The sequence below is a fragment of the Homo sapiens genome, chromosome 2 (genome assembly GCF_000001405.40).
Source record: "Homo sapiens chromosome 2, GRCh38.p14 Primary Assembly".
Classification (NCBI taxonomy): domain Eukaryota; kingdom Metazoa; phylum Chordata; class Mammalia; order Primates; family Hominidae; genus Homo; species Homo sapiens.
In genome coordinates, this window is record NC_000002.12 from 197,417,578 (window position 1) to 197,432,773 (window position 15,196).

Consider the following 15,196-nt stretch of genomic DNA (forward strand, 5'->3'; position numbering starts at 1 on the left):
AAAAAAAAAAAAAAAAAAGAAATATGAAAATTAGCCAGGCATGGCGGTGCACACCTGCAATCCCAGAAACTCGGGAGGCTGTGGCAGGAGAATCGCTTGGACCCAGGAGGCAGAGGGTGCGGTAAGCTGAAATCGCACCACTGCACTTCAGCCTGGGCAACAAAGGAAGACTCCACTCAAAACAAACAAACAAAAAGTAGGCAGTTATTAGACAAAATGGCATAATCTCTGTAGGCCAAAAGGAATTATTCAAAATTCTCCACTTACATCCAAACCGAAACTTACAGAATCTCACACTGAACTCTGACTTTTCCCTAACATACTGAGTTCAGATACACACCATCAACCTTCTCCACACAGAAACCACCCCTGTAATGGCCAGGCACAGTGGCTCACACCTGTAATCCCAGCACTTTGGCAGGCCGAGACAGGCAGATCACCTGAGGTCAGGAGTTTGAGACCAGCCTGGCCAACATGGTGAAACCCCATCTCTACTAAAAATACAAAAATTAGCTAGGCATGGTGACACACACTTGTGTTCCCAGCTACTCGGGAGGCTGAAGTGGGAGGATAACTTGAACCTGGGAAGCAGAGATTGCAGTGAGATGAGATCACGCCACTGCACTCTAGCCTGGATGACAGAGTGAGACTGTGTCCAAAAAAAAAAAAAAAAAAAAAAAAAAAAAATCCCTTGTGAGACACATACATACAAACATATACAGCCAAGGGGCCCAGGACTAGAAAAGGATATAGAAATGAAAAGTTTTACTTGGAAGGTGGTATAATTTGGGGGTAAGATTCTTTCTCAGTTAATTTTTATTAATACTATTATTTGTGCAGCAAATAGCAAAAAAGAAACCTAACAGTCTCTCAATCACAACTGTATTTATATTCTTTCACAACCATTAAAACAGGAGACAGGTTTACATACTTCTTCTTTAGTCAAGTGTTGTTCTCGCATTACATCCATGTAAGTCCTAGCATTCATTTTAGGATCAGGGGTTTTCCCTCCTGCAGAAAAGAACAGCAACAGGAAAAAGAGTACAATAAATAAAAAATAAGCAGGTTCAACTGATTTATCTGCCCTGCTCTAAATATTATGTTATTCCATAATCATTTAAATTATTTTTTGATGGAAAACTTTAATAATTATACATCTTACTTTTTATTGAGTTTGCTGATCAATTTAACCTGTTTGAACACAAACATCTACAGCAGTTTAAAACAAATATTTTAATGCATATAAAAACAAAATGACAGCACAGTTTAGAGTCTTCAGAAGTGATGGGTTCCTGGGTTGCTAATCCGGAATACGTACACTTTCGTGCCTTTGTCTCCATCAGCAGTTCTGACTTCAAGCAGCAGAATAGAAGCCTAGAAAATTATCTCTTTACCATTAGTAACACTTTGGAAAGATATTTATATTCAAAACATTACCTGTTGCAAGCTGTTAAAATCCTGACTACAAATAACTATGACTAGATAAGTTCTTCATACAGTGTTCTAAAACAATTGTAGTTTAGAAAATCTGATTTTAAAAATATACCTATAATCTTATTCTGATGTCACGTTACTAAAAAGGGCTTCATGCTTTAAGTTTTGTTGACCCAGAAAACATATTTTTATTTCTTAGAAAGCATAAATTAAAACTGGAAACATATTACTTTAAATATATTACTTCTACCAGTTATTATGATGCACACAGAAGCAACGTGGTGTACAAAGAGATGTGTCAGTCTCTTGGTTAAAGTTTCAGTATTTGCTTTTCAAACTTCAAAATATCTTACAGAAGCCCAAACAGTATATAACAAGATTCACAGAGGCACACTATGCTTTAGAAATGTGGTAACTAGCTATACAAGTAGTATAGCATCACAATTTAGGAAAAAATAATAAAATTCTAAGACATTTCCTATGCTGAAGATCATGCCCAATTGGTAGTGTCATTCTTTCTGACACTAGCTCTGATAAGACTTCCTTTGGAATACTTTTTCACCATAATCTAGAGAGGATGTGTTGAACTGCACCCTTAAGAATGCAGACAGGACTGGCATATAGCAGTACTGCTGTAGGAAAGAAATTAAGGACAGTTAGTATGGGCCTGTGAATTCTGGCATACATGTTTAAATCAATTACAATTATGCAAGTAAAAAAAGAATATCCCTACTAATTCATGCAGGCTGAAAAGTCTAGTATGTAAACCTGCAGCAGAATCTAATTTTAAGAAACAGGCACCTAATTTTGATTGTGAAACTCACTCACCTGAGGAAAGCTTCCATCAGGCTCACTATGCCCCTTGTGCTGACTTGCACACTAAAATTAGCAAAACAGACTCCAACTATTAAAAATATCAAACTCTTCGTATACATACTTTTGTTTTAACTTTAAGTATGCTTAGAGCAAAGTAGGTGCCTTTACTAAGCTATATTTAGAGCACTATGGGGGGAGCTCTAGTGTGAGAAACAGTTTCTCAAGGGTAACAATCCTAAAAATCTAGGATTTGGAATGAAAACTTTCAATAATTTGAAAGTATTTTGAGCAGAAAAATACATTTGATCCAAGTATAGAAAGCGTACCCAAAACAAAAGTAAAAGTAAAACCTTTAACCCTTTGCGTTTCTATGGCATTGGCTCATTTTTTTCTTGTCCTTCTACCTGGAAAGAAAACTTGCATTATAAAGATGAAGAATATGGCATCTGTGACTTCAACCACATCTATACAAATCTATAGTAAGGGGGATTTTTAAAAAGAAAAGCAAATTCAGAAGCATGCCAAAAAAAATCAAAGGGCTAAAGACAACTTAATACAAATAAATTTCTGAATACTTATAGAAAAGTGGGAAAGAATTACCATCTGCAAAAGGATCAAGACGCTCTGGGGAAATTATCATGGTCCGCCTATGCTTTTTGTATTCATCTTCCCGGTCTGCAATCTTTGGAGGTCTGTGCTCAGCAAATGGATCATACTGAAAAGAGGTATGTCTCACTTAATATCCACTTTATTAAAATAACAAAACAGAATATCATAAACAAAAATCAGAACACCATAAAGCACAAATGTTTAATACATGCCTACTAATATTCTGTACCGTTTCACAGATAAATGTTAAATATAAAAAAATAAGGCACATGGAAACAAGGTAATATACATATCCACATTTCCATAGTTCAATGCTTCATTAAATGATTACAGCCAGGCATGACAGCCTGTGTGTATAATCTCAACTACTTGGGAGGTTGAGACAGGAGGAATCCTTGAGCCCAGGAGTTTGGGATCAGCCTGAGCAAGACAGCAAAACCTTGTGTCAAAAAGAAAAAGATTACACCTTTACAAAATAAGTTATTATTTATAATTATCCTTAAAGCATCCTAAAATTTATGGATTTCTATGGGAACTCAGACATTCACTTTTCTTTAGCTGAATAAACTATGCTTTTAAAATGAAAGATCACCTGTTCTGTTGACTGTGGTATATCATTAAGCAATGCCACAGGGGCATGATATCCTGGCTTCTTCTGACCAAGCAAACTCGTAGATGATGAATAGTCATCGTCATCCTGCAATGAAAACCCCCCAAAAAGCCATAAACAAAATGTTAGAACTTAAAAATTAGAAAGAATATGCAAAGATTCAAAATGAAATCAAAAGATCTATTGACAGTGTGATGTCTAAGCCCTCCTTCATAAAACTTAGAAACACAATTGGTCTTCTTTCACTTCAAAAATCTATTAAATTCAATTCAGTAAAGTTATCTTTACTTTTAAAATGATTAAGCAAGGAATATTTTCTATAGACGTCAATTAAGATAAAGTAGGTATGGACTAGAAAAACCTGTGCATTTAATTTTTTCACAGAAGACAAAATGTTTTTTCAATTTGATAACTACAGCTTATTTTAGAACTTTCTACTTTCTTTTTTTAACTCATGTTTTTTAACACAATTTAACAACCATAGAAACAAATATTTAATTTTAAATTTATTTGCCCCTAGTAGTATGTTTAAACAGAACAATGTTATACTGTTACTTTTCTAGTATAAAAAGTACAACTGTTTGGGAGGCCAAGGTGGGAGAATGGCTTGAGTGTAGGAGTTTTGAGACTAGCCTAGGCAACAGAGACCCAGCTGGGCAAGGTGGCTCACATCTATAATCCCAACACTTTGGGAGGCCGAGGCAAGGGACTAATTGAGCCCAGGAGTTCAAGACCAGCCTGGGCAACATGGTGAAACTCTGTCTCTACCAAAAAAAATACAAAAATTAGCCAGGCGTGGTGGTGTGCATACGTAGTCCCAGCTACTCAGGAGGCTGAGGTGGGAAAATTGCTTGATCTCGGGAGGCGAAGGCTATAGTGAGGCATGATCTGGCCACTGCCTTTGGTCTGGGCAACAGAGCAAGACTTTGTCTCCAAAAAACAAAACCACATACATAGTGAGATCTCATCTCTATTGTAATAAAAATAAATAAAAAATAAAAAGTGCAACACGGGGTAATTCTCCAGATCTTAACACCTCACTTATTTTATTTAAAGATAAAGTGACAATTTCCCCCTCAGCTTCTGAAACCTATAGCTATCACTTTCTTTTACAATTAGGGTATGAGACCCCCAAATAAAGTGCTAACTAGTCCATGACTGGCTTCTAGAAATTTCACCTTTTGGGATTTTTAAATTTCTCTCAAGAAAAAAAAAAGAGGAAGAGAGCCAACTATAAAATGTGACTTGAATTTCTTAAAAATAACCAGTTGGCACCGCATGTTCTCACTCCTAGGTGGGAACTGAACAATAAGAACACCTGGACACAGGATGGGGAACATCACACACCGGGGCTTGTCATGGGGTGGGGGTAGGGGGGAGGGATAGCATTGGGAGATATACCTAACGTAAATGACAAGTTAATGGGTGCAGCACACCAGTATGGCACATGTATACATACGTAACCTGCACATTGTGCACATGGACCCTAGAATTTAAAGTATAATAATAATAAAAAAAGAAATATACATCACCTATCCAAAAATTAAAAAAAAATAAAAAATAACCAGGCGCGGTGGCTCACGCCTGTAATCCCAGCACTCTGGGAGGCTGAGGCAGGTGGATCACGAGCTCAGGAGATCGAGACCATCCTGGCTAACACGGTGAAACCCCGTCTCTACTAAAAATACAAAAAATTAGCCGGACTTGGTGGCAGGCATCTGTAGTCCCAGCTACTCGGGAGGCTGAGGCAGGAGAATGCTATGAACCCTGGAGGCGGAGCATGCAGTAAGCCAAGATTGCACCACTGCATTCCAGCCTGGGCAACAGAGTGAGACGAAAAAAAAAAACCAGTTTGATAATCTATATACATAAAATAAAATTTATCTGTAACTGAATCACCAAATTTGGAGTTTGGAATGGTCTGATAAAATATAAGCTACCTGGAATACATAAAAAATGCTTTGAGGGAACAGATTTCAAAATGAAAGGCAGTCCTCCTCCATAGGAATTCAAACAGACATGAAAAGCTCATCAATATCAGTACTAAGAAAAATTCCAGGCTGGGCGCAGTGGCTCAAGCCTGTAATCGCAGCACTTTGGGAGGCCAAGGCAGGTGGATCACCTGAAGGCATGAGTTCCAGACCAGCCTGGCCAACATGGCAAAACCCCATCTCTACTAAAAATACAAAAATTAGCCAGGCATGGTAGCAGGCGCCTGTAATCCCAGCTATTTGGGAGGCTGAGGCAGGAGAATCACTTGAAACCGGGAGGCGGAGGTTGCAGTCCACTGCACTCAAGCCTGGATGACAGGTGAGACTGTCTCAAAAAAAAAAAAAAAAAGATAAGAAAAGAAAATCCATTCACATTAAGATACCAAGAGGAGAAAAACAGTATCAAGTACAAGTCAGTAATCAAATCACAAGGACAGATGGCTATTTACAATTAAGTCACTTCTCACACAGGCTACTCTAGATAGAGCTGATAAGTAATGGTAGGGATTTACTTTACTCTTAACTTTATAAAGGTAATGGCTGGCAGGTGCTTCACTGGATAAACAAACTAGTCTTTACCATAAATTCTCAGAACAAAGCATTTCCAGTGAAGTTTCTGAACCTTAGAGAGGATACCTCCAGTAGTTTTATCCTCTAAAAGATCCCAAAAATGTTTCTCCAGATTAAACCAGATGGCTGCAACAAAAGTTATTCATATTTCTTGCTCTCTCAAAAAAATAACTGCCTCTTGTACATAATTTGTAACTTACATCTTCAAGTTCAGTTGCAGCAATTGATGTCACGTATCCAGCAAATCTGCTGTCACTTCCACCATAAATTTCCTGGTCATAATAACCTGTAGAATCGAGGCCCACTCCTTGAGCTTCATCAAGAGCTGCCTTCTTGCCTTGAATTTCTCGAATCTGTGCTTCAATATCTATAAAAAGATAACACAGACTTTCTTAATTTCACTTTCCAAAAGAACTCCCAACACAATGCATTTCTTTACTAGGTAATTATCAAAATACTCTCTTAAATACAGAAAATGTACAATAATTGCACCATATAAGAGACTAGTAATCACAACAGCGTAAGCAAGCTCTAGAAATTAAACCATGATAGGCTGGGCATGTGGCTCACGCCTACAATCCCAACACTTTGGGAGGATGAGGTGGGCAGATCTGGGTGCTGTGGCTCACGCCTATAATCCCAACACTTTGGGAGGAGGAGGTGGGCGATCACTTGAGGTCAGGAGTTCGAGACCAACCTGGCCAACATATAGCGAAACCCCGTCTCTACTAAAAAATACAAAAAGTAGCTGGGCGTGGGGGCATGCACCTGTAGTCCCAGGTATTTGGGAAGTTGAGGCAGGAGAATCACTTTAACCCGGGAGGCGGAGGTTGCAGATCACACCACTGCACTCCAACCTGGGTGACAGAGCAAGACTCTATCTCTCAAAAAAAAAAAAAAAAACCGTGACAAAATATCATCTAACAAACATATAACCTAGCTTAAAATGTCCCCAGTTGCCCTAGTAACAGCTTCTATAGATTCTTTTTTAACCCATGATCCAATCAAGCACCATACACTGCATTTAGTTGTCACTCTTTGCTCTTCTTTAAATACAGACTAGTCTTCCATTTTGTAGTCTTTCCTGACACCAGGTTAATTTTGCAAAGTAATGTTTTGTTTTAATAATCTAAATAATACATAGATGTATAAAGAAATAGTTTCGATTGCAAAAGATTTCCATGGCCTGACAAATAGCTGTTTAAATTCTTGCCAGCCCATGCTGAATTAAGCCCTTTGACACCAGGCACTTTTAAAAAGCTTACTTGCTGGCCGGGCGCGGTGGTCCACGCCTATAATCCCAGCACTTTGGGAGGCCAAGGCGGGCGGATCACCTGAAGTCAGGCATTCGAGACCAGCCTAGCCAAGATGGTGAAACCTCCTCTCCAGTAAAAATACAAAGTTAGCCAGGTGTAATGGCGCACGCCTCTAGTCCCAGCTACTCAGGAGGCTGAGGCAGAACTGCTTGAACCCGGGAGGCCAAGGCTGCAGTGAGCCGAGATCACGTGCCACTGCACTTTAGCCTGGGCAAAGAGCAAAACTCATCTCAAATAAATAAATAAATGAATAAAAATTAGGCCGGGCGCAGTGGCTCACACCTGCAATCCCAGCACTTCGGGAGGCCGAGGTGGGCAGATCACCTGAGGTCAGGAGTTCAAGACCAGCCTGGCCAATGTGCTAAAACCCCGTCTCTACTAAAAATACAAAAATTAGCCGGGCATGGTGGCAGGCGCCTGTAATCCCAGCTACTCGGGAGGCTGAGGCAGGAGAATCACATGAACCCGGAAGGTGGAGGTTGCAGTAAGTCGAGATCACGCCATTGCACTCCAGCCTGGGCGACAAGAGCGAAACTCCGTCTCAAAAAATAAATAGATAAATAAATCAAATAAAAAATAAAAAAGCTCAATTGCTAGCTGCATGAATCAAAAGATAAAGATTCAAATAGCATCCTGTATTTGCAAAACCTCCCACCCCCCCAGCTAAGGGAGAAAGCCCTCTATAGTTCCTCAAGATAGATGTGCAGGATAACAAAATGTCCTTATCTAGTCTAAGGCACGGCTGGGTCACATTTCCACATAAGAAAGGAACAGGAGCACGTCTCACAAACTGGAGGCAGACGCGGTAGCTCACGCATGTCATCCAAACACTTTGGAAGGCTGAGGTGGGCGGATCACTTGAGCCCAGGAGTTCAAAACCAGCCTGGGCGACATGGCAAAACCCTATCTCTACAAAAAATACTAAAATTAGCCAGGTATGGTGGCAAACCTATAGTCCCCTGCCACTTAGGGGGCTCAGGTGGGAGGACTGTTTGAGCCCAGGAGGTCAAGGCTGCAGTAAGCCACGATTGCTGCCACTGCACTCCAGCCTGGATGAGAGAGAGACTGTCTCAGAAACAAACAGAAAGAAAGAAACTCAAAATGATAGAATAGTTTTAATGCTGAGTTTAGCAGCCCCAGTTGTGATCGGATCTCAAAATTATTATAGTGTGTTGTGTTACACAGCACCACTACATGCACAGATGTTACTTTGTCCCCAAACCATTATAGCAGCCCAGGCAGCCAGAAATATCCTCACATGAGCAGGGTGGTTCTTTTTACTATGATCTCTACTTTTGTTTCTGTTTGTAGTTTCATATTTTGAAAAATTTAATCTACATTTGCCCCACTCCCACCCCCTTCGGGCATCTTCTTTTCTTTTCTTTTTTTGAGGCGGAGTTTTGCTCTTGTTGCCCAGGCTGGAGTGCAGTGGCTGGATCTCGGCTCACTGCAACCTCCGCCTCCCAGGTTCAAGCCATTCTCCTGCCTCAGCCTCCCAAATAGTTGGGATTATAGATGCCCACCACCACGCCCAGCTTCAGGCTTTTTTTTTAAACCACAGGTGCATTTATCACTTTTACCTAAATAGGTTTTTGTAAAAGGACCACAAATGCTACTTCCATGAGGATTTAGGTAAGAAACAAATGGATGAATCAGGAGAAATAGTCTGCAATCTCCTCTACAGCATTAGTCTAGTATAAGGACCACCTACAAAGAAATGACCTGGTGCACCTGTTACAAAGGTAGAACCTTAGGTCTTGGATACACTAACTCTGAAACTCCAACTCAGGCTGTGAAGCCCAGGATTCTGCATCATTAACAAACACCCTAGGAAACTATTTTACCTGGCCCTTCACCCCTCCCATTTCCAACCCCAGCCCACCCCTACCAAATTTTCCAATTTAGAGCATCATTTTATACTTTTCTCTACCTCATACACAACTAAAAAACAGGAAAGGGGTGCTGTTTTATAAAAACTGCACACTACACATATTGTGCAACTTGCTTTTTCCCCCTTATCAGGCATCTCTCTTATTTTCCATCTAAACAACTTTTCCATCCTGAAGTTTCAGCAACTAGTTTCTCATTTGGATAACACTTATTCTGGAACTAATTTCAGCTACTGAATTTTAACTATTGATTTTATGTACCTGCTGATTAGCATCAGAGTTTTCCAATTACAAAGGTTCATAAAGTACTGAAATAGTGTTGGTATGAAATCTATGTAAATCATGACTAGGTTCTTATTAAAATTTAGTAACAAAATTACCCAGCCCAAAATCTCCTGGGGCTAGGCAGCTGTTTGTAGTTAATTAATCCTAAGGTGAGTATATTACTGAACTTCTTATAGGCAGTACAATTAAATGTTTATATGCAAATCAGGCATTGTTTTCTGTCTGCTGGAAACTATAGATATAAAGTCCAAACAGCTTAATGGGCTTTGTTAACACACTGCAAACTGCAGCACATTTACACATACACCATGTGATCCATAAAATTAAGCCGTCAGATTCCATAAAACTCAGCAGCTTATTATGCAATTCAGAGAACTAAAAACTCAGAAATTTCTTAATAAACTATGTGCTAAAATACCAAATATAACATACCCAAATATTTATGAGCAAACAAATTATTACCATGACATTCATAAATAAGGTAACTTTGTGTCTGAGGTTTCGTTTTCAAAATAAATAAAAAGGTGGGAAAAAATACGGCAGAAAATGAAGAACTGATAAAGCTGAGCAGTGGGTTAGTGTTCATTATATTTTGTCCTATTCTCTTCTGCATGTTAAAATATTTCATAAAAGGTAATCTGGGCCGGGCATGGTGGCTCACGCCTGTAATCCCAGCACTTTGGGAGGCCGAGGCGGGTGGATCACGAGGTCAGGAGTTCAGGATCAGCCTGGCCAAGATGGTGAAACCCCATCTCTACTAAAAATATAAAAATTAGCCAGGTGTGGTGGTGGGTGCCTGGAATCCCAGCTACTCAGGAGGCTGAGTCAGAGAATTGCTTGAACCCAAGAGGCAGAGGATGCAGTGAGCCGAGATCGCACCACTGCACTCCAACCTAGGCGACAGAGCAAGACTCCGTCTCAAATTAATTAATTAATTAATTAATTAATTAAAAGGTAATGAGGCTGGGCACTTTGGGATGCCCAGGCAGGCAGATCACTTGAGTTCACAAGTTCAAGGCCAGCCTAAGCAACATGATGAAACCCTGTCTCTACAAAAATTAGACAAAAATACAAAAATTAGTCACTACAGGTGCACACCTGTAGTCCCAGATACTCAGGAGGCTGAGGTCAGAGGATGGCTTGAGCCCAGGAGGCGGAGGTTGCAGTGAGCTGAGATCACACCACTGCACTCTAGCCTGGGTGTTAGAGCCAGGCCTTGCCTCTAAATAAGTAAGTAAATAAATAAATAGGTAATCTGTAGAAGTAATTAAAAGTAATTTTCCAAATTTTTCTCTCCCCTATCCATGCCAGCCAAGGTTTGTAAAATTCCACTTCAAATTTTTTATCTCTGGGAATAACAATGTTGTCTCTAACTCCGTATTTTCAAAACCAACACTAAGTTACAGCCTGGTGTGTAAGTATTCCTATAATTTCTTAAATATAAACTGACTAAAAATATGCAAATAGATCATTTCTGACAACAAATGATCAATGCATAAAACTGCTTGGCAACTGGCTGAGCGCGGTGGCTCACGCCTGTAATCCCAGCACTTTGGGAAGTCAAGACAGTTGAATCACTTGAGATCAGGAGTTCAAAGCCGGCCTGGCCAACATGGTGAAACCCTGTCTTCACTAAAAATACAAAAATTAGCCAGACATGGTGGTGGCACGCCTGTAATCCCAGCTACTTGGAAGGCTGAGGCATGAGAATCGCTTGAACCTGGGAGGTGGAGGTTGCAGTGAGCCGAGATCACAGCACTGCACTCTGGCCTGGGCAACAAGAGAATCGCTTGAGTCTGGGAGGCAGAGGTTGCAGTGAGCCAAGATCACGCCACTGCACTCCAGCCCGGACGACACAGTGAAACTCCATCTCAAAAAAAAAAGGCGGGGGTTGGCAACTATGAAAATAAAAAATGAGAGAACATACCAAAATGAGTAACCAGAGGTCAAAAACAATGAAGACTTGAGGCAAAGAAACGTCTATGCTAATAATCTCTTCCAACTTCAATTATGACCAAAATGAACAAATCCTGTTCCAGCCTAATCCCTTCCCAGTTTGGACTCATAGTTCAATACATTCAGATGTGAAGACAAAGAAAAAAGGGATACTGTCTGCTAGTGACTGAGCAAGAAGAGACTAGGACTTCCTATTGGCCACACAAAACTGCCAAAAGCTGGCACTCTTTAACCCATTTAAACCCTTAAATATTCCAATTTCCACACTGTTGTGCACATCAATAGTTTCTGCCTTTTTATTACTGGGTAGTATTCCATTGTACTACAGTGTGTTTATCCATTCTCTAGCTGAAGTACATCGAGCTGTTTGCAGTGATTACAAGTAAGGCTACTGTAAACATTTGTTTAGAGGTTTTTGTGTCAAGACAGGTTTTAATAACACTAAGGCAGGCCGGCACGGTGGCTCACGCCTGTAATCCCAGCACTTTGGGAGGCCGATGTGGATGGATCACCTGAGGTCAGGAGTTCGAGACCAGTCTGGCCAATGTGGTGAAACCCCATCTCTACTAAAAATACAAAAATTAGCTGGGTGTGATGGCGCGCGTCTGTAGTCCCAGCTACTCGGGAGGCTGAGGCAGAAGTATCGCTTGAACCCGGGAGGCGGAGCTTGCAGTGAGCCGACATTGTGCGACTGCACTCCAGCCTGGACAACAGAGCAAGACTCTGTCTCAAAAAAAAAAAAAAAAATTTCCTTCCCATGACTAGCACAATCTAAACCTGAAGTATGATTTCAGAACTATGCTCATACTTAGAGCCAATAATTTTCTGGGTGCTTCCATTGCTTGTAGGCCCCCTAACATCTTGATTGCAGCAGTAATGGGAAGGAGGGAACCAGTTTAGACAGCCACTTTCCCCAATTCCTCCAGACTGTGCGAAACCACAGGACAAAGGTTCTGCAACAAATGAAGTGCAAGGAAAAAGAAAGAGACAGGAGGAACCTATGAACTGAAAAAGATTTAAGAGATAAATCATTAAATCACAATGTACTGTGAAATGAAAAAGATATAAGAGAAACCAACCAATCAAAATGTTATCAGTTTTCTTGGAAGCCTGACTGAAACTGAAAAACAAAGTTTAAAAGAATGGGTAAAACAGAACAGTGACTAGATATTTTATTATTTTAATTTTAGGTGTAATCATGGTATTATCTTTTTAAGTCCCTACACAGAAATACATACTGAAATATTTATGGATAAAGTGGTATGTCTAAGATCTGCTTCAAAATAATGGGAAGAGTAGAAGTGACCAGTGTACAAATTAAACAAAGCTGGCCTAAGCTTGTAACTGTTGAAGCTAGGTGATGAGTATATGAGGGGTTCATTTTACTACTCACGGTAGTTTTTTTTGTTATTTTGTTTTGAGACAAAGTCTCACTCTGTTGCCCAAACTGAAGTGCAGTGGCACGATCTCGGCTCACTGCAACCTCCACCTCCTGGTTCAAGAGATTCTCCTGCCTGAGGCTCCCAAGCAGGTGGGATTACAGGCACGCACCACCAAACCCAGCTAATTTTTTTATTTTTAGTAGAGATAGGGTTTCACCATGTTGATCAAGCTGGTCTCAAACTCCTGACCTCTGGTGATCCATCCACATCAGCCTCCCAAAGTGCTGGGATTACAGGCGTAAGCCACCGTGCCCAGCCTACCCTAGTGTTATTAAAACCTGTCTTCACACACTGTGCCCGGCCTGTTGTTTTGTTTTTCTGAGACAGAGTCCTGCTCTGTTGCCCAGGCTGGAGTATAGCGCCAGCCGCTCTCTACTTTTCTGTATGTTTGCAGTCTCAAGCAATCCTCCTGTCTTGACTTCCCAAAATGCTGGGATTACATGCGTGAGCAACCCCTGGCCTCCTGTATTTTAAAACTCAGACCTACATATCAAGCTCTTGAGAAAAACAATTCATATCACTGATAGCAGAAGGTCACATCTGATAAAACTATTTAACTGCTCCCCACCAATTCTGTCCCTCTGATTTCCCCTCCTGTGCCTTTTCTTCTTTTTTTTTTTTTTTTTTTTTTTTTTGAGACAGAGTTTCACTCAGTCGCCCAGGCTGGAGTGCAGTGGCGTGGCGTGATCTCAGCTCACTGCAACCTTCGCCTCCTGGGTTCAAGCGATTCTCCTGCAACAGCCTCCCGAGGAGCTGGGATCACAGGCTCACGCCACCATGCCCGGTTAATTTTTTTGTACTTTTAGTAGAGAGGGGGTTTCACCACGTTGGCCAGGCTGGTCTGGAACTCCTAACCTTGGGTGATCTGCCCACCTCAGCCTCCCAAAGTGCTGGGATTATAGGTGTGAGACACCATGCCCAGCCCTTTTCTTCTTTCTAAGCCTTAGATCCTGCTAAACCCAACTTGTAGCACTTCTTCCTCCTTGATTTTTATTTTTCATTTTTCGTCTGAATTATTTTCAGTGTTCTAATCACTGCTCATTACATGTTACACAGATACTGCCCTCAGATGTTAATGTCTCACCTACACCTTTCAGTCTGGTCCCTAAGTGATATCTACTCTCCTTCAGCCAGATATAACCGGTGAACAACTATTTCCAAAATACAAGGCTTCTAAAAGACATCACAGAAAAACAGGAAGTATATTCTGAATCCCAACCCTCAGCTTTTTCATTAAACAAAACTCCAATAGGACAACTAACTATAATATAAATCATTTTACTGAACACTACAAACAATACTGATAAATTGATTCCTAAATGATTAATTCTATTAAAAAAAATTTCAAGGCCAGGCATCGTGGCTCACACCTGTAATCCTAGCACGGTGGGAGGCCAAGGCAGGACTGCTTGAGCCCAGGAGTTCGAGATCAGCCTGGGTAACATAGCGAGACCCCATCTCTAAAAAAAAATTGTAAAAATTAGCCAGGCATGGTAGCACACGCCTGTAGTTGTAGCTACTCAGGAGGCTGAAATGGGAGGATCACTTGAGCCCAGCAGTTGTAGGTTAAGTGAGCTATGATCACGCCACTGCACTCCAACCTGGGCAACAGGGCAAGACCCGGTCTCAAAAATAAACACAGGAAAAAATATATAGATCAGCAAGATACACAATAACAAAACTATAACTATTCCAGCCATTTATCAAGCAAAGAATTAGGGAAAAAACTTTTTCAGCTTTGTGATGTCCCAAAAAATCTAATTCAAAGGATTAGTGGCAAAACAAGCTGATATGTAGGATTTTTGGTTAAACCATTTTCCCCTTACAAAACAGAGAATAATGTGTGTTCCCTGTTTGTATGCCAAAGTCAGCAGTATCTGAAGAACTGCTGGATGGCAAGATTATGCATATTCATAACCATACACCTGACATAATACGTGGAAAGATCTAAAAGATTTTATCTGATTTGAGTAATTCCAGTTCTTTTTATATTTCAATCCTGGAAAGCATAAGCCACATTGGCCAGGGTAAAATATAATCAGATTGGTTAAAGAGGATGTGAGGCCTGATCCTAATAGAAATGTTTGAAAGGGTTCAGGCATGGTGGCTCATGCCAGTAATCCCAGCACTTTGGGAGGCCAAGGTGGGAGGATCACTTGTGGTCAGGAGTTTGAGACCAGCCTGGCCAACATGGCGAAACCCTGTCTCTAAAAATACAAAAATTAGTCGGGTGTGGTGGCACATGCCTGCGATACTAGTACTCAGGAGGCTGAAGCAG

The 15,196-nt window shown here is 40.7% G+C and overlaps 1 protein-coding gene across 7 annotated transcripts in view; it reads right to left on the bottom strand.

Annotated features, from left to right (window-relative positions):
- SF3B1 (splicing factor 3b subunit 1) overlaps positions 1-15,196 on the bottom strand; it is a 45,310-nt gene that overhangs the window by 27,794 nt on the left and 2,320 nt on the right. For 2 of the 7 annotated variants that reach the window (NM_012433.4, XM_047443840.1), the window contains exons 2-5: positions 6,231-6,397; positions 3,452-3,556; positions 2,851-2,965; positions 932-1,011 (exon numbers count right to left, since the gene is read on the bottom strand). In NM_012433.4, the coding sequence (NP_036565.2) occupies positions 932-1,011; positions 2,851-2,965; positions 3,452-3,556; positions 6,231-6,397 (467 nt within the window). Of the gene's footprint in view, positions 1-931; positions 2,966-3,451; positions 3,557-6,230; positions 6,398-15,196 lie in introns of those variants that run through there. The other 5 variants (XM_047443841.1, NM_001005526.2, NM_001308824.1 and 2 more) reach the window with 5 other exon arrangements.